Source organism: Homo sapiens, chromosome 6 (assembly GCF_000001405.40).
Source record: "Homo sapiens chromosome 6, GRCh38.p14 Primary Assembly".
NCBI lineage: Eukaryota > Metazoa > Chordata > Mammalia > Primates > Hominidae > Homo > Homo sapiens.
In genome coordinates this window covers 170,531,581-170,553,667 of record NC_000006.12, presented here as the reverse complement: position 1 = coordinate 170,553,667, position 22,087 = coordinate 170,531,581, and the positions used below count along the sequence as shown (strand labels likewise).

Here is a 22,087-nt window from a genome sequence, read left to right as displayed (position 1 = left end):
ATTATCAGTGAGGTTGTGAGCTCTTTAAGGATAGGAAATGTTATATACATTTTTTATTAGCCAGGACAATTAACGTTCCCACCGTTATTCGAGTTGCCGTTGCGCCATAGTTCTGACAATTTTTTTGTATGGTCAGACTTAAATTTTTGTCCATTGGGGTGAATTCCAATGTTTTCTTCGAGGGGGAAAAAAACAAAAAACAAACAAAAAAAACCCTTTACATCCCTGTCAGCGCTTTTTGGAATGGGCGGGATTCAACTACCAAAGGGACAAGCCGCCGTGCAGCCCTCCAGGAGCAACGACTAGCGTGAGATAGAGAGGCCGGGAGCGAACTTCAGGAGAAGCCGGAAGTGGCGTAACGTCCGGTCAAGGCAGCCATCTCGCCGTGAGACAGCAAGTGTCGGATCCGCAGGCGCAGCCGTGCGATGTTGTCCTCTACAGCCATGTATTCGGCTCCTGGCAGAGACTTGGGGATGGAACCGCACAGAGCCGCGGGCCCTTTGCAGCTGCGATTTTCGCCCTACGTTTTCAACGGAGGGTAAAAACCCCAGAGAGCTGCGGCTTTCACTTTCGCCCTTCCCCCATCTGCTGAAGCCTATTTAGGAGTCACCGCCGTGATGGCGCTGCCCCGGGCTCCTGCAGGCCTCAGAACCCTGAGCTGAGGGGGTCCGCACAAGGCCGGTCTCCCTGCCGTCCTCTCATGCCCTGTGTTTCCCTCTTCAGGCTCGCTTTGCTCAAGTTTACTTGGTGATTGCGATACAGCCTTGGTTTTTAGGGTTTCCCATTACAGTCATGTCATTTGAGTTTTTATGTGGACCGCCACTCCGTGCTCCTTGCTGCTGTAAGACAGTAAAGTAGAAATTGAAACATAGCCTCTGCTCTGTGGAAGACCATTAAAACTGGACCTCATGTACACGTTTCTTATGCCAGCCGGCGAGGGTAGAGGGTTAGCGTCTGAAACTTAAAAGTTAGGGTTGTTTGGTCTGTGTTGTTAGATGCATAGCTGGGTTGGTAGCCGAGATGTCTAATTGTAGCCGCCTGATTTCTGTTATTTCTAATTGTAGCAGTTTAATCATTTTGTTTTATTTCAAATAGAAGGTGGGATTGGCTGAGCAAACTTAGTTTCATAGATAAGTGCTTTTTTTTTTTAACGTTTAGCTTAAGTTCAGGAAAACAAAATACTCAGAAGATGGACCTTTTAGTATGTGTGTTCTTGTATGTTATGTTCAAGTTTTGGTTTTTATTTTAATTACCAGCTTTATCTTGAGTAGTATAATTTTCCGTGGTGGCACGCCAGAGATTTAGGGTTATAGAAAGATGCTCTGTTTAAGACTCTTGACAGGGAAGAGCTGTAAATTGAAACAGTGGTTATAGTTACCAATCAAGCCTTGTACATTAAAATATACACACGCAATTTGAACGAACCGATGGTTCTTAAAACAGAAAATATTGGCTGGGCAGTGTGGCTCGCACCTGTAATCCCAGGACTTTGGGAAGCCAAGGCAGGAGGATCATCGCTTGAGGCCAGGAGTTGAAGACCAGCCTGCGCAGCATAGCAAGACCCCATCTCTACAAAAATAAATTTTAAAAACAAAGCAAAAATGTTAATTGGTTCCTCATAAATTTGAAATATAAATGCACATTTTGGGAGTGTGTTAGAAAGATAACGAAAGTCTGATTTTAGCCTTGGTTCTGCCACTAAAGGACACTTTGGGTACTTCTGAACTTCTTGAACCTAAATTTCCTTATCTTCCTTAGTAGCTTCATAGTTTTTGGTGAGAATCAAGAGAGATGCATTTTGTAAATTGCAAGCTGTCATCTTATTTAATCCTCATGAAAAGTGAATGTTAGATGATATTAGCATCCTAGGGTTATATTAGACGTTAAACTGTCAGGGTCAGAGAGCTGGTGTGAAGTTGAGCCAGGACTTAATTCATAGCTATTTCACCACTGAGTTTATGGATGCTTTTCCATTATACACCTTAACACTTCCTGTGATGACTAATTAAGTTGTATATTGTAGGGAGGGTTATTGGACCCGTTTCGTAAGGCTATTCTCTATAAATAAGAATTTTCAGTGTTCAGTATGCCCTACTCGTTACTCACTTTTTAATCCCTTGTAATCCAGTTTAAGCCATTACTGCCCTAAAAATTACTTAGATCTTTCTGATTACTTTTTCTCAGTCATTGTTCTTTTTCTTTAGTGTTTACTGCAGCTGGCTCTCAGGCAGCCTTCGCTTCCGCAAAATGAGGCCTCATTCTCTTTTCCTACTCTGTCTTTAAATGTAGTTAAGTCATTAGCCGCCTTGTTTATCGCTCAGCACTCTTTCATGTCTCATTGCTGGGAGGATTACTCCCAAATCTGGTTTTCCAGTTCTGCCTCTCATGAGTCCCTCGATTCGGCTTCTTCAGTAAAACATTTTTAACTGGTTTTTCTGCTCTCAGGGCAACTCAAGACAGCTAGCAAAACAAAAAGCAAGCTAATTATTCCCCTTCATCTCCTCTTCTCCTTTCTTCTTATTTTTTGAGACAGAGTCTCACTCTGTCACCCAGGCCGGAGTGCAGCGGTGCGATCTCAGCTCACTGCAACCTCCAACTCCTGGGTTCACGCATTTCTGCCTCAGCCTCCCGAGTAGCTGGGATTACAGGTGCCTGCCACCACGCCTGGCTAATTTTTGTATTTTTAGTAGAGATGGGTTTCACCATGTTGGCCAGGCTGGTCTCGAACTCCTGATCTCAGGCAATTGACCCCCCCCCCCCCCCTCAGCCTCCCAAAGTGTTGGGATTACAGGTGTGAGCCACCGTGCCCGGCCTCCTCTCCTTTAAAATACTTATAATTATGCCATCATTCTGTTCATCTAAGTTCTAAATCTTGGATGTCATAATTGGTTTTCCCAGTTCCTAAAACATTTGCGTAGATATAAAAATTTGTCTATTTTGTGTGTTTGTGATGATTTTGGATTTACTGTTCACCCTGCTACCTTACTATTGCATTAGTAGTATTAGAACAGTGTTTCTGTCCCATTTCACATACTATGTTATTGTCAGAGCAGTCTTCCTAAAACCCCACTTTGTAAATGGAACTTTTCTCTCTCTTGCATTCCTTTTTTAAAGACCAGGTCTCACTCTAATGCCCAGGCACGATCATAGCTCACTGCAGCCTTGAACACCTGGGCTCAAGCAGTCCTCCCACCTCAGCCTCTTGAGTAGTTACAACTACAGATCATTCTTGCTCAGAATACCTTCATGATTTCTTGCTAAAATTCCAAAATCTTTAGCTTGGCATTTGGGATTTTCTACAGTAGGAACCCTGTCCATCACATAAACCTTAACGTCACTACATGTGCTTATGCAAAAAGGGCTGCCTGAATGAGTTGCTTGAATGTATGTACTATTTGAATAATTACCTGTTTGCCATTGCTTGCTGTTTATATTACCTGGAATGCCATCCTTTTCTTCTTGAGAGCTTTAGCACAAATCCCTCCTCAGTAAAAATAGTGGCTTAAGTTTCCTGAGTGCTTACGTCTGTGAGGCACCATGCCTTTAATTTCCACTATTGCATTGAAGCAGTGGTTATAGTTATCAGTCAAGCCTTGTACATTAAAATATACACACCCAAATATATATACACACCTTGTGACACAGGTACTGTTATCATCAACTTGCATTTGGAGGATTTGTCCAAGATCACATACCTAGTAAGTAGCAAGAGTGGGTCTCTGTCTCATGTAATTCCAGAGCCCAGGTGCTTAGTCATACTCCAGTGCCATAGCACTTATAGCTAACACTTACTAGAGGACCAGTTACATGTCAGGGACTGCTATAAGGGCTTACATATTTGATCCTTTGAACACCCTAATGAGGTAGCAACTGCAGTGATCTCTGTTGTATATATGATGAAATTGACGCTTTGAGAAGTAACTTACCCACAGTCTCATATCTGCGAAACGGGAAAGCCAGAATTAGAACCCAGGCGGTCTGCTTTTGGAATTCTACTGTAAGTCTCTTTGATAAGCTGTCAAATTGTACAGCCACAGAGGGAAAAATTTACTGTTTGTCCATCTATTTGTCATTATATAAGGGATTGGGTATAAAGAAATAAGCATTATATAGGCGTTATATAAGGACTTGGATATAAAGAAATGAAGCAAGAAAAAAAAATCTCATCTTCTCTAAACTCATAGAGCTTGCGTTGTAGTACCACTGTCTATACCTGATCCTCAAGGGCACAGATGTGGTATTTAGTTGTTCTGTATTAGTAGTACCTTGCGCGAGTAAGTATTTAATGTGTTGGTGATGATAATTCATTGGCTTTTCTGTTAACTCCTGCCAAGGAGACTTTGCCCTGATTTAGGCTTATTAATAATTTTTTTTTCCCAGACAACTCGTAGCCAGGCGTTCATTCTCTTCCCGCTCATCTTTCCTCTTCCCATTTGAATCATGTTTTTGTTGACATCTAGAGTATTTTATCCCATTATGTACTATGGAGCATTCTTCTATTTGTAGGGATAGGATTACCACCCTGGAGAATTAATTTTTTTCTTTTTTCCTCAGTACTATACTGGCAATTGCTGGAGAAGATTTTGCAATTGTTGCTTCTGATACTCGATTGAGTGAAGGGTTTTCAATTCATACGCGGGATAGCCCCAAATGTTACAAATTGTAAGTAAATATTTCTAAAGACATTTCACAATGCCTTTGTAATGATTTGATGTTGTGAGAGTTTCTACTTCTAAATGATTTGTTTCATGAGTTTTTAAGTTGCTGTTGGGAGCATTTTTATTAGAAAACCATTTTCTAAGTTAATGTTTCCTAATAATTTAATGTGCAGTCTTAATAATATTTGCTGTATTCAGGGTACCAAAAGTGCTTTCGGTAACCTAAATGTGTTCACCCCAGCATTTTACCATGAAAAATTTCCTGCTGTGTCTTAACATGGTGGAAGGCCAGAGAAAGAAAGAAGAGCAAGCGAACCCACTGCTGTGATAATGTCCATTCATGAAAGCTGAGCCCTAGGACCTAAACACCTGGTCCCAACTCCCAGTACCATCACAATGGCAATTAAATTTCAACATGAGTTTTGAAGGGAATATTCAAACCACAGCACCATTAATCCATTAAATGATATTTTTTTTAAATCTGCCTCCCCACACTTTTTTTTTTTACCTGAAACATTCGTTTTAGAAATATCCTAAGCAATTATGTCCACAGCTCAGTTTTAATAGGCTAGCTATGTTTTTCCTAAAACATGAAAATAAAGCCAAAACTTAAAAAAACAAAAAGCCTGCATAAATACTGAATACATACTGCAGATTGGCAGTGGTCTGTATTTACCAGTTTTGGAAATGCTTATAAATGGTCATGAATTCCTGGGTTAATTAAACTTGAATTGTAATAGGAATGGGACTTACGAGGTTTAGGTCCTTTGGATGGACCCTCCTTGTATTGTAGGAAGTAGGTACAGAAGAAAAGATACGTTGTCTTTCCTGCTCCTAGGGATGGCCCACATCTTAAAAAGCAATGAAGTTTGTTTTCGTCTTCCCAGTTCTGTTTCTCTCCACTTGCATCTTTTGATACCCCCTTTCTGCTTTCTGTTTATGGTGCTCTTGTGTTACCTTTTTTTCTCCTCAAGGACGACACTTGTACAACTTGAAAGTAGTAAATATTAGAAATAAGATTTTAAAACAACTTTATGGATACCATCCTTGTACTAGCTTTTACTCATCTTTTAAATATTGCTTTAGTTACGTTTGCTGGTGAAGTGAGCACTTTTTTTTTTTTTTTTTGTGAAACACGTCAGATATAGAGATAGAGAATAAGAACAATGCAGCATTAACGAATGCCTGTATATATCCCTCATCCCACGTCCTGTGGGTCTGACCTAGAACTAAGCTTGCCTCTTCCAAACCTGTTTCAGACTGTATTCTTTGCATGAAAACTCCCATTCCTTTGATGCACCTGGATATTTGGGAAAAGCATCTTGAAGTTCTAAGATTTCTGTCTTTCCCTGTTGGTATTGTCAACCAATCTTGTCAGTAAAGGCAGTAAAGCCTTATAGGGGATTGGACGTCTTCACCTTAGTGCAGTGAGGTTGATGGTAGGCATAGATCAGGTGATGTTAGTGATGACCCTAGAGGTGTCAGCTGCTCTCCTAGTAGGACAGGTATGGTTTGTGCGAGTCATTCGTAAGTTTCCAAGAGGAATTGTGTGGCCTCTGCAAAATATTGTTTAGGTTTCTTTATAGATTCATATCAAGATCTAGGAATTAATTTTTGAAATACACGGTTGAATTTGTATGTCTATACCAAATTTTAATCCTCTCCATACAGATGGACATTTAGGTTTTGTTTTGTTTTGGGGTGCTATTTAAATGAGTACTCACTGGTGAGTCTAGAGCATCCCTTTGCATACTTGGATAAGTATATTAACAAGATGGATTTCTAGCAATAGAATTGGTGAGAGTGGTGTGTATTTAAATTTTTAATAAATACCACCAAATTGCCCATCTAACAGGTTAATCAGTTTATACTGTTTCCACAACCTCACCAGCATTTAGTTAGTTAGGCATTTTTAGCCAGTATAATTGGTTGAAATAGTCTCTTTTTGAGATTTGGATTTCTGAGTAACATAGAGGCTCTTATGTTTATGGTGACTTAATGTCTCTTTTTTCTGTGACTTGTCTGTTCATAGAAGTTACCCATCTTTCCTTTATGTTATTGCTTTCCTTATTTGTAAGAATTTTTATAGAATTAAAATTAGACTTTGGGGGTAGATGCTACTAATATATTTTCTTAGGGTTTTAAAAAGCTATTCTTAAATTTCCCTGTAGAATTTTATGTAGTCAAATTTATGAAATTTTTCTGTGTGGCCCTTGGATTGTGTTGTTTAAATCTACCTTCACGAGGCTGGGTGCAGTGGTTCACACCTGTAATCCCAGCACTTTGGAGGCCAAGGCAGGTGGATTACCTGAGGTCAGGAGTTTGAGACCAGCCTGGCCAACATGGTGAAACCCCATCTGTACTAAAAATACAAAAATCAGCTGGGTGTGGTGGCGGGTGCCTGTAATCCCAGATACTTGGGAGGCTGAGGCAGGGGAATTGCTTGAACCCAGGAGGCGGAAGTTGCAGTGAGCCAAGATTGCGCCACTGCATTCCAGCCTGGGTGACAAGAGCGAAACTCCGTCTCAAAAATCAGTCAATTAACCTACCTACGTATCTTCCTCAGCCCAAGATAGTAAAAAAAATTCACCCATGATTTATTTAGTCCATTCATAGTCGCATTTTTAAAGTCTTTGATCCACCTGTAATTCATCTGGAATAAGGGGTAAGATGGAATACAGACCCCTCCTCCCCAGAAGGGTGACTGTTTGTCCCATTACCATTTAGGGAATAGTGGGAATCAGAATTTTAAATTTAAAATTGCCGAAGATATGTTTTGCTCTACTATCTAACCAGCTCAGTTTTCTGAAATGTGCTTTTTACAGAACAGACAAAACAGTCATTGGATGCAGCGGTTTTCATGGAGACTGTCTTACGCTGACAAAGATTATTGAAGCAAGACTAAAGGTAGATGCTTTTGTACATTTCTACACTATTTTAAATTAATAGTAATTCATTAAATTCTTTTAAGCCTACAGCATGACTGTTGGTCAGATAGCTAGAGAGTCACTAGGTTAGTAGATGAATTACAAATGTATGCTAGAAATGAAATGATATCATTAATGCAGGGTCATTAAAGTAGCATAATGTGAAACAGCAGCACATTCCATTTGTTAAAGTCTTGTATCATATGAAGGGTTCTCTACCCTTTTAGAAGGAGCCTGGGAGGAGTTCTTCTTCTGAAGATACTCTTCCCTCAAAAACAAAGCAAATCAATTTCTGTGGCAGGAGAGAGCCCAGGAAAGATTTGACACAGGAGCTTGGTTTGCATCACCATCAGTTGACAAGCTTTTCCTCTTTACAGTGCTGTGCTCTTAGTTGGCAGGATGCATGAGTAGAAATACGAAAGAATGAATAAGCTGGGAGCTTGGATGGGAGGCACAACATGCACCATTAACGTCTGTCACCTGACCAGCTTCAGTTGATAGCCAGCTGCCAGAAGTCAGGGGTGATCACATTCTGTTTTGCCTATTCATGAATAACACTTGAGATTATTTACACTTATGAGTGGTTACTGGAGTATATAGTATATTTATTTAACTGACACATGCTTTTTGAATGTGTAGAAAGGATTTCACTCAGTATTTATCAATTGTTAATGCTTTTTTAGAAACTTACATTGAAAGCCATAGTGACTTACATTTATTGGCATATTTATATGATAATTCCTAATGCTTATTTTATAAATGGGAGTTAGAAGACAAAAGTAAACATGATATTGTTAATAAAACAAGGAATGGTGAATTCTACATAATACACACCCCTTCCTGAAGTTTTTCTCTCATACTTTATTAGGTGGTGAAGTAAATAAATGTTGGTGCTTGGTTTCGAAATGAAATGGAATGAAATTTTTTTTTTTTTTTTTGAGACAGAGTTTCACTCTTGTTGCCCAGGCTGGAGTGCAATGGCATGATCTTGGCTCACTGCAACCTCTGCCTCCTGGGTTCAAGTGATTATCCTGCCACAGCCTCCCGAGTAGCTGAGATTACAGGCACCTGTCACCACCCCTGTCTAATTTTTGTATTTTAGTAGAGACGGGGTTTCACCATGTTGGCCAGGCTGGTCTCGAACCCCTGACTTCAGGTGATCCACCCATCTCGGCCTCCCAAAGTGCTGGGATTACAGGCCAGCAGTGAGCCACTGTGCCCGGCCTATGAATAATTTTTTATAGTTTTTATCTTGGAAAGGCATTCCTCTATAAAAAACTTACCTGTTACTTGTAGTTCATTTCTAATCATTTTTCAGTGTTTTGACTGTCATTATTTAATTTTACGGTGCTAGTTAGATATCTATCTGTCTATTTATTTAGAGACAGCGTCTCACTTTGTTGCACAGGCTGGAGTACAGTGGCGCCATTGTAGCTCACTGTAGCCTTCATCTCCTGGGCTCAAACATTCTCCCGCCTCAGTTGGGATTACAGGTGTGAGCCACTATGCCTGGCCATTAAGTTTCTCATTAGAGATGTTTGCTATGTGGTTAACAAAAATTGGTGATCTTGAATTCATTTTATGTTTATAATTTTTGTGAAGTTTCTCTACCAGTGGGTAATGTAGGGCTCGCAAAGGTATAGTAAAGCTAGGATTTGCAGTCACTGTATTGTCATGCTAAGACCCTGTTTTGGATGCTTGTGTTCTCTACTGTAGATGTTTTAAGGATCACGACCACTGCTGTGTATTAAAATCATGCAGAGTAAGGGTGCTGCCCTGTGTCTTCTGTTCTCACAGAGATCTGCTCCACAAAGAGAGGGACTTACATCTAGGTTTGATCAGGGATTGCCGTAATTTTTCTGTAAAGGACCAGATAGTAAATATTTACAGCTTTATGGGCCTCATTTGATCTGCTTCTGTAGTGAAAAAGCAGCCACGGACAATATTCATAGCAATAGGGAGTAGGCTGGATTTGGCCCCTGAGCCAAACTACAGGGGTAGTTTGTTGACCCCTGGTCTATATGCAGAGTGAGGGAGAGAGATGGATTTAAACCCATCTTCCTTAGGCCACTTCATGTGCCCTTTCATACACATTAGCTCTTGGATTAGCAGTACCTGAGATAAGGGTGGTATGGAAAATAGAGTCTAAACCAGAGAGCTGAGGGCAAACTTGGCATTCCTTCCCTTAAAATTTTATGTTAGTAATACTGTGTTGGTTGATCATGAAGGAAATAGGCATGCTTTCCCCTTCCACTGTGGTATGCATTTATTTATTCACTTTATACTGTTGATTGTTCTAGTCTATAATGGCCTCTGCCTCTACATGCCTGTGACTTTTATCAATAATTGCAGATGTATAAGCATTCCAATAATAAGGCCATGACTACGGGGGCAATTGCTGCAATGCTGTCTACAATCCTGTATTCAAGGCGCTTCTTTCCATACTATGTTTACAACATCATCGGTGGACTTGATGAAGAAGGTAGAATTCCTTCTTTCTGGAAAATGGTGGGGGGGAGGAGTTATTATTCCCTAGATGTGTGTATCCATCTAGAGTTGAAAAGAACCATAAATACCATCTGACACAATTCTCATTTCATTTCTGATAATGAAAGTGATGAAGAAACTGAAGCTAATGTATGACCTCCAAAGGCACATTGAAGCTCTAATAGTGAATGTTGAGCAGCCAGTTATTTTGCTATTTTCTCAGGAACTTGCATGAGTTAGTAGTAAATAATTAGGCATTTTTATCTTATAGAAAGAAATCGGACCTAGAAAGCTTGACCTAAATGTGATTCTGAGTATTGAAAATTTTTTTATTAACAAATACACTTCAAAAAAGTTCTTTAACGGTTCTAGAAGTCATTTGGGGTAATTAATAATAAGCATCTACTCCAGTGTTTTCAGAACTTTTTGAAACACCTCTCTGATTTTGTCAGAGTCAGACCAGGATTCCCTGAGAATATTAAGTCTTGTTACTTAATATTCCATCCCATTTTTGTTCCAGAGCTGCATTACGCCACATGGGCACCAATGTTTTCCATCCAAATGTTCCAATCCATTTGTTCTCATTTGCAATCCAAATGTTCTCATTTGGATTGGCTTTTGGTTGCATCTAAAAATCAAATACAAGTACAGTGTCCCAGGACAGATCTTTGTCACTTAGAGTAGTCCATTGACACAGATGGATAAGTAGTCCATCTGTGTCATTTAGAGTAGTCCATTGAGATAAGAAGTTACAGAAGTGTCTAGATGAGGATATCATTGGAGTAAGCCCATCTTCTGTGTTCCTTCTGGCTGAACCTGTGGCTGAAGTTGCCCTAAAAGTAGGGGCAGAGGAATTCCTGTAAGGGACTGCCCCGAACCTAGTTGGGGTTCCAGAACACTAAATCTCAGGGTAATCAGTCAAAAGCATTTAGTGCTGCAGCAGTCCTCTCAGCAGACAGCAGGAAAAGATGTGTCCAAGGTGAGGGAGTTGATTTGAGTGTTGAAGGAATTTGGTTCAGGGCCAGGGATAGTTTCTGTGTGTTTAGCAACAGGGGTAATTTCTCAGTGTTTCAAGCAATAGCCTAAACAACATTGTCAGCGCCTGGGAATGTTCAAGGCAGGCCTTGGCTTGGGTCAGAGCCTCCAGGGGAATACATGCGGCTGGCCACATCACAGAACATCTCAGTTGGACACAGAAAGAAAGCAAGGGGACTGGGGACCCTAAATCCTGTGAGGGAAAATTCTAAGAGGAAAGGGTCAAGCTTCATTTCAGCGCCCTGCCTCTCGGTTGTTGACTCCTATCGCTTTCTGTTCCATGAGCGTTTTCTTTGCGTGCGCTATCTCTGACTCTTAACATCCGCCCCCATACACAGCCTTGGGGAACATTCTGATCATTTTACCTGCCATGGTTTAGGCGTAGACAAATTAGGTTGACACAATTTCTTTTTAAGGCTTTCAACCTTACTTGAAAACCAAGAGAAAAAGTAAAGTGTAGAAATAGTAAAAATAGAAATGAATTACCTTTAACATGGGTAATTAGAGTCTAGCTACAAATTAATTTGCCTAACTTAGCAAGCTGGATGCTTCTGGTGTCTTTTTTGACTTACATTATGCCTGGCTTTAATGTCAGATTAATAGATTCAGATTTTAGCAACATTAAAAATAGCTGAGCTGCCATTGAATTTCAGCAGGCCAGACAGCATCCTTTGAGTTTTTCCGAGAGTTAGAGAGTCTAATCTGGGAAAGCTGATACCTACTAAGCAGCAGACCTAAGATTCAGGTTTGGCTTTTGTTTCACTTCAGAGCCCTGTTCTTTGATTTCCATGTAACAGTGTTGCTAGTTTTGGTGACAACCTCAGGTGTCTCTAGAACTGTCTTTCTAAGCTTGTCTGTCTGGTTGGCTTTTAAGTGTTCTTTAAACTAATTTTTATTTTATAGAGGAATTTGTGTGAATAATAAAGCAGTCCTCTATCTTTTTTTTCCATTGCCCTAAGACAGTTTTCAGCTCTTTTACCTGTATTTCCTGGTACTTACCTCCATTTTCCAAAACTCTGTATTTGTACTGCACTCTTTTGAGATATCTTTTGGTGTTTTGTTCTGGTAGATGATGGTTCTTAGCTCTTTTGTGTCCTCTTCCTCATTAGCATCCTCCTTTAACACATTACACTTTTGGTAACATAGACCTTTAATGTTTTTATTATGACCAGATAGATATTGATCTTTGTTGCGCCAAGTAGCATGCATTAATATTTTCTTTCTTGTGTAACTCGTTTTTATTTTTTTCTTAAGTTAACTATCTCTAATTGGCTCAGATTTCTTTAAACTTTTTGTCAGTTCCTTGTACATTCTCTGAGTACAATTCATCTGGTTGTCAGACCTCACATACTAGGTGGATCCCTTTTCCCCTTGCTCCAGGATGGACCACTGCCATCCTGAGATTCCCCCACATCCTGTGTTCTCCTCTTTCTTGATTTATTTCCTTATTTTAGAGGCTTACCTCCTAAAAGATTTCTGAAAAAAACAAAACGGGACCTTTTTGAGACTTTGCTTTTAGGATCTTTTCTTTACCCTGGTGTTCTGAAATTGTATAGTGATGTTCCTTGCCTAGAGTTTCTTATTTGTTTTATCCTCTTTCTCCACCTTCTTTCCTCTCCTCCTCCCCTACCCCTCTGCACCTTCTCCACAACCACCTGGATTATGACCCGGTACTTTATTTTTGACTCCCCATGTTATCCATGTCTGTCTTTTTTGTTCTACTTTATGAAGATTTCCTTAATTTTAGCTTTTCATCCTTTACTGATTGCTTTTATTTCTGGTGTCATTAATTTCCAAGAGCTTGTACTTATTTTTTGTCTTTTTAAAAAAAATCCTGTTTACTTTCTTTGCAGTTTTCTGTATTTCATCAGAATGTTTTTTTTTTCATGTTATGTGTTCATTTTTGGCCTCTGTCTTCTATGTTAGAGGCTTCCTTCAAATCTCTGATTTTTTTTTTTTTTTTTTTTTTTTTGCTGTCCATTCACATTGAAGAGTCTTGTACCAAAATTTGATTATGAAAGTCCTTGTTGACATGGCTTGTCAACTGACAGCCGTTAACTGGGTGCTTAAGTAAGCAGCATTTTCTTCAGATGAAGAATTTCTTTAATCTTTTTTCCTGAGGTGAGGTGGGACTACAGGAAGAGAAGCCCGGTTGGCAGCTTTTTAGGCCTCAGAGGAGGAAGGGGGCTGAAGGTCTGTGTTTTGTTTACATCAACTTTCCATTTCATGTGTTTTGCTCCTACCCTTTGCCACTCTAGAGCCTGGTCCCCTAAGTCCAGAGCCTCTGCTAATGTCTCAGGAGACTTCCTTTACTGTCTTCTGTGTTGGTGGATGCAGGGACCTGGAGAGCAGTGCTCCATATTGAAACCTTCAGGACAGCAAGGTCCACAGCTCTTTCCCTTGGTGTCAACCGCTGTCTGCACTAACCTCTCTGTCTTTAATCTCTTAGCTGCTCTCATGCCTTTTAAAAATTTTTCTCCCAAATTAAAAGTGGCTTTAGTTTTTCTGTAGTGAAAACAATCAGTACATGTTTATACATACACTCATGCAGTTTTATGTAAGTAGGACTTTGGTATCTGTTTTTCTGTAACTATACATTATGTATTATCAAGGAGATCTAAGCTATATGCATAATGATTTTTGTATTTAATTAACAAAAAATTTTTTTGTCTTCTGTTTTTGCTGCTGTAATACATAGCATCATTTACCTAACCAGTCCTCTAAAGGGCATTTTGGCTTCCTGTTTTCTTAATATAAACACTATGATGAACATCCTTGTACATACATTTTTGTGTACTTCCCCAATTATGCTTGTCTTGCTAGAATAAACTTCGAGTAGTTGAAGTATTGGGTCAGATAAATTTTTTTTTGTATTTTGTTGAGTATACTCTTTCTGAAGGATACGCCAGTACCCTGAGTACCCGATTTTATATAACCTTCCCAGTATTAGAATTAACACATTTTGAAACATCTTTTTGCCTATTGAACAGTTTATTATTTTCATTTATATATATTCTTGGGCATGTTTTCATATGTTTATTGACTTTATAAATTTCCTCTTTGGAGACTGATTCATATATTAACTGTTGCCCATTTCCTTATTTGCAGGTTAGTTTTCTTCTTACTGATTTTCAAGAACTACATTCGACTGTGTCAAATGTCTGTGATATTATAGATACTCCCAAGAGTGTTATTTGTCTCTTTTGGGTGGTGCCTTTTGCTACACAGAAATTGCTGTGTTTCATACAGTCTAATCTGTCAATCATTTCTTTATGACATTCAGTTTCTTGCCTTGTTAGAAAAACTTCTCCCATCCAAAGCTTAGCTGTATTTCTTTTAAGACTTGTCTGATTTTATTTTTTACATTGAAATGATTGTGCTTTTTGGATTTTACTTTGATGAGGAAAAGCACTTTGTAATCAAGATTCATGCCATTCTACATTTATTTTTGTTTTTATTTATTGATTTTTGCTGTTTTATACTGATTTTACTAGTGTCTCTCTTGCTTCTTCTAGGGGGTCTTTAAAGCTGTGTTCTTGGACATAGCCCACCCTTTCTTTGGTTTATTTTTTTAAATTTGTTGTGTGTGGTTTTCTGAGATTGGTTCCATCCTTGGGTAAAGCTTTTGGGCCTCAGTTTACTTGTGGCCTGTCATCCTCATGAGAGATACAATCATTTTTCTGCCTTTACACCTTACATCTCTTTCTTTTTTTGTATATTGAGGTTAGTGGATTGCCTGCTGTGATCTCATGTCTTGTCCCAAGCTTGCTTCCAGCAAAAATACTTCCCAGTTTCTTAGGTGACCTCAGATGGTGCCTTCTCCACCAGAGAATTCAGTTTACACAATCCTTTTTCTTTTTTTGAGACCAAGTCTCGCTCTGTTGCCCAGGCTGGAGTGCAGTGGCATGATCTCGGCTCACCACAACCTCCGCCTCCTGGGTTCAAGCGATTCTCCTGCCTCAGCCTCCCAAGTAGTTGGGAATAGAGGCACGTGCCACCATGCTCAGCTAATTTTTGTATTTTTAGTAGAGATGGGGTTTCACTGTGTTGGCCAGGCTGATCTCGAACTCCTGACCTCGTGATCGGCCCACCTCAGCCTCCCAGAGTGCTGGGATTACAGGCGTGAGCCACCGCGCCTGGCCAAGTTTACGCAGTTCTATAGTAGAAAACATACAAAGCTAACAGTGGCAGTTGTACATGGTTAGTAAGGAGATTGTCCCTATATCACATCTCCCAGGGTACTGAGTTCTGGTATATAATGTGTTTTCTAAATCAGTTATGTTTTTAAAAAATCATACCTTGTAAATGACTCGTGATTTCTCATACCCAGAACACGGTTGTTTTTAACAGGCCTTTTTAACGATTGTAGAATCACCTGTGTTCTTTGTAACAAACTCAAATAAGATAGAAGCACATGAATTAATTCCCTTCTTTTCTTGCCTCTAATTCAGAGCTCAAAGATGACCAGCCACAGTTACTTATCTTTCCAGACTTTTTTGTGCTTGTACAAATAGTTTTCTTATTCTTTTAAACAAAAGCAGTATCGTATTTTACAGGTTACAGAATTCTCTTCGTTTTACTGTGTCTTGCGGATGTGTCCCTTGGACCTGTCTATATACATAAGTCGTGCTTTCCTTCAAGTTCTCCTCTTCGTTAGCTTAGGAGAGCCAAGAAATAAAGACTTTCTTACAAATGACTGTTTGAGTTTGGCTGATGTGTCCTACAGAAACCTCACCATCTCTCTCTGTGTTCTCCCTACTCTCTTACGGGTCCTTACCTACTACCATGGCTTGGATTATTTTTGTGTATTCTCATGGCTTCCAACTGTTTTACATCTGCAGTGGTTAATTCTCTTGTCATCTTTACCTGAAGATCATAAAAATGCCTTTCTCCCTCTTACCCACCCTTTCTGTGTTACTCAATATTGTATTTTAACTCCCAAGCCTACAGTTTACCCTTGAACAACACACCAACACGGGGATTGGGGCTGTCTGCTGGGTGGCACCTGTGCAATGGTGACTGGGTTCTGGCTGTCACATGTGCAACAGTGTGTGTGCTGCAGCTGTCACCAGTGCAACAGTGGCTGTGTTCCAACTGTTCCCTGAAGTTTTAGCCAAGGTGATAGTCCGTTTTGTGTCACGTTTTGACCTGATTTATTTTTGCGATGATTTGGGATTGTGATTGGATACCATCCTTATGAATACTGTTTTCTTCTTTAAGGAAAGGGGGCTGTATACAGCTTTGATCCAGTAGGGTCTTACCAGAGAGACTCCTTCAAGGCTGGAGGCTCAGCAAGTGCCATGCTACAGCCCCTGCTTGACAACCAGGTAATGATACTGTGTCCAGGTAATGATACTATGTCCAACTTGTCATGGTGTTCAGTTGAAGTGCCTTCCTCCAAGTTCTCCTCTTCATTAGCTTAGGAGAGCCAAGATATAAAGACTTTCTTATAAATTACTGTTTGAGTTTGGCAGACGTGTCCTACAGAAACCTCATGGTCTCTCTCTGTGTTCTGCCTACTCTCTTGTGGGTCCTTACCTACTCCCATGGTTTTGATTGTTTTCCTGTATTCTCATGGCTTCCAACTCTTTTATGTCTGTAGTGGCTAATTCTCTTGCTGTCTTTACCTGAAGATCATAAAAATGCCTTTTTCCCTCTTACCCCCCCTTTCTGTGTTACCCAATACTGTACTTGAACTCCCAAGCATACAGTTGAGCCTTGAACAACACGGGGATTGGGGCGCCAGTTCCCCGAGCACTGGAAAATCCACATATAACTTTCGACTCCAAGAAAACTTACAAATAAGCCTACTGTTGACTGGAAGCCTTGCCAATAATGTAAACTGTGGATTATCACGTATTTTACATATGTATTATGTGCTGTATTCTTATGATAAATAAACTACAGGAAAGAGAATGTTATTAAGAAAATTATAGGAAGAGAAAATACATTTACAATACTGTATTTGTTGATACTGTAAGTTTACATCATCTGTTTACAAGGAGAATCATCTGTCTGGAGTGGTGGACAACCACAGCTGCAGACCTCAATCTACAGTACATATCAAGCAATTCAGCTTTTTCTTGTGATGTCATAACTTTCCCTGCTTCTTGGGGAGCAGTTCCAGCATCACTAATAGTGCTTTGTTTGGGCCACTTGTTATTTAAGGTTTATAATAATCGCACTAAACACAATGAAAAACAAAGGAGAACATTGAGAGATCACTTTAACTTTTTATAATCAGTTTATGTGTATTTTATGGTAGTAAATGATAAAATAGCTAGTATCTACATATAGTTTATACATTTGTGGCATACCTTTCTCTTAATTTTTAAGGTATTTTTAGGCTACTTGGCTCATCTGAGTTTTTCAAAGTGTTGCGAGTCTCCAAAAACTTCTCAGTGTGTTTACTGAAAATTTATGTGTCAGTGGGCCTGAGTGGTTGAAAACGGTGTTATTCAAAGGCCGCCTGTATTTCTAATTCGTCCCTCTTTGTGATTACTGCTGGCTAAATTCAGACCTACATTATTAGATTATTGGATTTATTTCCTAACATCCTTTCTGCCTACAAGTTTACTTCCCTAATTCCTCCTGCTCAGTTTTCTGAAGGATGTCATATATAGCTACTCCTCTGCTTATTGCTTATTGACCTCATCTCCTGTCACCCCACTACACCCAGACCCTAACTCTGCTTTTCTCAGAAAAGATGTGCTTTTCCTAACTCCGTCCCACATCTTCAGTCTGGAATGTTCTGTGCTCTTCAGTGTAGCCTTCAGCGCTCACCTACTTAAAAGTCCTTTCTGCTGAAGCCTGTCTTCTTCTAGGAGACTTAGTGGACATCTGTTGGGGCTCTCCTGGCTCTTATTTTCTTCTTAGTTATAGCAATTCTCTGATCACTTTGCTTGCATACGTCCACCTCTCCGGGTCATGTGCTTCTCAAGAGTGGGAGCTTTGCCAGGGAATCGTTGTCAGATTTCTGATGTGTGTAATTCATCCAGGTCTGGAAGGGTCTTTATTCAGTCTGAAGGACATTTTAATTTTGTGTAGTATTTTCATCACAAATCCTCGTACACATGAGGGTATTGGAAGAAACTTGAACCTTTCCTTTGTGCTCACTGTCACATGACATCTCACCCAAGTTTCATGTCCCACCAGGTTGGTTTTAAGAACATGCAGAATGTGGAGCATGTTCCGCTGTCCTTGGACAGAGCCATGCGGCTGGTGAAAGATGTCTTCATTTCTGCGGCTGAGAGAGATGTGTACACTGGGGACGCACTCCGGATCTGCATAGTGACCAAAGAGGGCATCAGGGAGGAAACTGTTTCCTTAAGGAAGGACTGATCTGTGTGCTCTTATCACCAATCAGTTCAGACCTGGTTGATTTTGTACTTTGGAACTGTACCTTGGATGGTTTTGTTTATTAAAAGAGAAACCTGAAGTACTCATTTTGCTATAACTTGTCTTCTCTAAGCAGGACAGATATAGGAAGTAGAATTTCTTTTAATTTTCTTCATTTTTCCCACCCTTTTCTATTTTTCTGAGATTTTTTTTTTTTTTTTTTTTTTTTTTTTGCATTTTAAGTAATGAAAACAGGTCATGTTAATTTTCCCTTACACTAATGAGGTAGGAATTTCTCTGTAAAAGTTGACCTTTTGAGCAAACTTATCTTATGAAGAGGGCTCTGGTGTTTACGCAGCCAGCTTGCCTGAAGGGACCTTTAAACCATCCAGAAGGGAGAGTATTTACTAGGGTTTTATTAAGACTCTAATGGTTATAAATGAAATATCTTAAGATTTTTCACTTCTGGGACTGTTAAGCCATCTGGAATAGCTATTTTGGAGAAAAATCTTCAACCAAAATAAAACTGTAAAAAAAAAAAAATAGGCCTTTATACAAGCTGTAGCCAGAAATCTGGGATAATTTTTACAAGCACTTTAGTAATGTTATAATTGAGACCTAAGTTTTGATAGAGCCAAAATTTTTTAGATCTATTAAATACATTTTAACTCCATTATAATATTTGAGTAATTTTCTTGTTATTGAACAAGTCAAATTATATGTAACATGGGAGTTATTGTATGCTTTGTACCAGAACAACCTGTGGTATAAATGGAATTTTACTAAGTTAGTGGTTAATCTTAGATACCACTTTTGTTTATTTTGCCTTTTATAAATAATTCAAATTATCGAAAGCTGCTAGTAGATACACATTGTAAACATTTATTGCACAAACATCAATACTGTCACTCACTATCCCAGGCATTGGGGACACAGTGGTAACACCTGGTTCATCTCTTAACAGTGTCTGTATGAGGATTCTCCAAAGACTCAGAACCAATAGGATATGTTTGTATATAGAGAGAGATGAGAAAGGGTTTATTAAAGAAATTGGCTCACTCAGTTATTGAGACTGAGAATTCCCATGCCTGGCTGTCTGCAAGCTGGGGAGCCAGAGAAACTGGCAGCATGGCTCAGTCCAAGTCTGAAGGCCTCACAACCAGGGAAGCTGATGGTATAACCCTTGAAGTCCTGAAAATAAGGAGTTGGGTGTGAGGGGTTGCTAATCAAGTCCCTGGCTCGAGGAGAAAGACAGTGAATTATTTGCCTTTGCCTTTTGGTTCTATCTGGGCTCCATTCAGTTGGATGGTGCCTGCTCACACAGGCTGATCTGCACTCAGTCCACAAACTCCTAGGCCAGTCTCCGGAAACATCCTCACAGACAAACCCAGAAGTAATGCTTTACCTGCTGTCTTGATATCCTTTAATCCAGTCAAGTTGACACCTAAAATTAACTATCCCAATGTCCCAACTAAAAACTGTAGAGTATCCCAATTTCAAATCTACATTTTTTCTTCTTTATATACACTAGGTATATTCTTATTCTAAAGGATTTCCCATTTTGGAATTTTCTGTTTATATAAAGTTGTGTATCTAGGATTTTCTATAAGGTTCTCACCTCCCAAGGTGTATAGGGAAGTTCTACAAATTGAGTAATGATTGATGGCACATAATTAGTGTTCCATGATGTTTTTTTACAACCTTCAGCTAACATTGTTTTAATCCAGTATTGCTGTAGACTTTGAACATGGTCTTAGTTTTGGAGTGAACACGACTTAGTCCAGAATGTGTTTGGCATATGGCTCCTAGAGCTAACCTGGCTACTAGTTATTTGGGTAGTTTTATAGATCATTCAGGCACATTCCTTGTGTGAAAAGAAAACCTTTGATAAACATTAGAAGTATGATTCATTCTTAAGAGTTAGGCTTGAAGATTCCAGTGAGAAGCTGCTGATGTAGAGACTTTCTCTTCATTACTGCCTGCAAGGGGATTGGAAGTATCTGGTAATATTACAAGTGATTGATGGAAAACTGCTTGAGAGGTTGGCCATGACTCCATTTATACACACAGAATGCACGTAGATGTTTGGATTTGTCTTAATTATCCGACAGATGGCATAAATACTTTCCGGCAGTCTGCTCAGTGGGGCTGTGCTGACTTGGGAGGTTAGAAACAAACTGAGCCCGTGACTGCCAGGTACCACTCGTGTCTCCATATTTCCCATGCAGCAATAGCTCCTGCTGTAGTCACAGTGACTTTGCAAGCCTACCCAAGGGGAATGTAGACAATTTAGTAGGAAAATAATATTTCTTACCAAAATGTCTTGGCCAAGCACAGTGGCTTACGCCTGTAATCCTAATACTTTAGGAGGCTGAGGTGGGGAAATCACATGAGCCCAGGAATTTGAGACCAGCCTGTGCAGCATGGCCAAACCCCCTCTCTACAAAAAATGAGCCAGGGATGGTGGCACATGCCTGTAGTCGTAGTTACTCAAGAGGCTGAACTGGAAGAATCACTTGAGCCCAGGAGGTCAAGGCTGCAGTGAGCTGTGGTTGTGCCACTGCACTCCAGCCTGGGTGATAGAGCAAGACCCTGTCTCAAAAAAAAAAAAAAAAAAAGGCATAATTATTACCCTGATAGGTTTCCTTTTTCTGCCTTTCTGTACCTGTTACCTGGGTGAGCACTTAATGGCCCAAAAGTGTATTAACATGCTTTCTGATTCTAGGTCTCTCATTCCTTGTATTTGTGAATTTCAAACTGTAACTGGAAGATTCCCTGTATCAGAATTACGTAGAGCACTTGTTCAAAATGAACTCCTAGGTTCAATAGACCTATTGTCCCAGTCTCTGAGCTAGAAATCCCAGGTGATTCTTATGCATACACAATTTGAGAACTTCTTTAACTCCTCATCAGACAGGTTCAATCAGAGAAGCCCTAGGAGACATAAAAAGATTTATTACAGAGTTCGGCCTCACATAAGAAGAGCTGATTAGATGATCTATATAAGCCTGTTTCTGTTTGGTGCTAGGAGCCTAAAACCCATAGCACAGGCTGTCAAAGGGGCGATGGTGCAAAAGGAGGAGGGTCAACAGACTGGATTGTGACCTGGGACCATGGGGGACACCTGTGGCAGTCCCACTACCTTAGAACTTTCACTTAGTGATCAGGTACTGGCCTCCTTTTTCATGGCTAGACATGCACCTGGCCCAAGAGCTTGGGAGAAGTTGCAGAAGGGCCTGACAGGAGCTTAAGGAGCTGGGACCCCATATGCAGCCCATGCCGCCAGGTGAGTCAGCAGGTAAAGAACACGCGTGAGCGGTGACAGCCCATCATGCTCTGCTCAGCAGCACAAGAGCAGATGGCTGCTGCCTCACTGCACCTTCTGCATCTTAGGCTCCTTTCTCTGAGTGCAAACCCACCAGAGCTGTTCAGTACCCATCGGTGGTCTTCATTACTGCACGAAGTCCAAGTCTTTCTCCGCTTTGTGAAATTAATTCAAACTTAAAGCTGTTGGAACTTCAAATTATTCTGAGCCTTGAAAGACATGTGGCTATGCAGAGCCTGAGTTATGCGGCATGCAGGCGCAACTTCTGCCTTTTCCCCTGTAAACAAGACAAAAAGGCACCAGACATAAGACCCCTC

At 40.0% G+C, this 22,087-nt stretch overlaps 1 protein-coding gene across 1 annotated transcript, besides 1 other annotated feature; it reads left to right on the top strand.

The window, feature by feature from the left end:
• Nucleotides 229-608: an enhancer, noted in NCBI's record as "active region_25467". NCBI's record gives its function as "activates an Ori minimal core promoter by ATAC-STARR-seq in GM12878 lymphoblastoid cells {active_cell/tissue: GM12878}" and the evidence as "EXISTENCE:reporter gene assay evidence [ECO:0000049][PMID:35858748]".
• PSMB1 (proteasome 20S subunit beta 1) lies at nucleotides 361-18,548 on the top strand. The gene is made up of 6 exons (NM_002793.4): nucleotides 361-538; nucleotides 4,555-4,662; nucleotides 7,484-7,565; nucleotides 9,938-10,067; nucleotides 16,328-16,434; nucleotides 18,263-18,548. The coding sequence occupies exons 1-6, from the start codon at nucleotides 426-428 to the stop codon at nucleotides 18,446-18,448; spliced, it is 726 nt and encodes a 241-aa protein (NP_002784.1). The 5' UTR covers nucleotides 361-425; the 3' UTR covers nucleotides 18,449-18,548.
• Nucleotides 18,549-22,087: the final 3,539 nt, after the last annotated feature.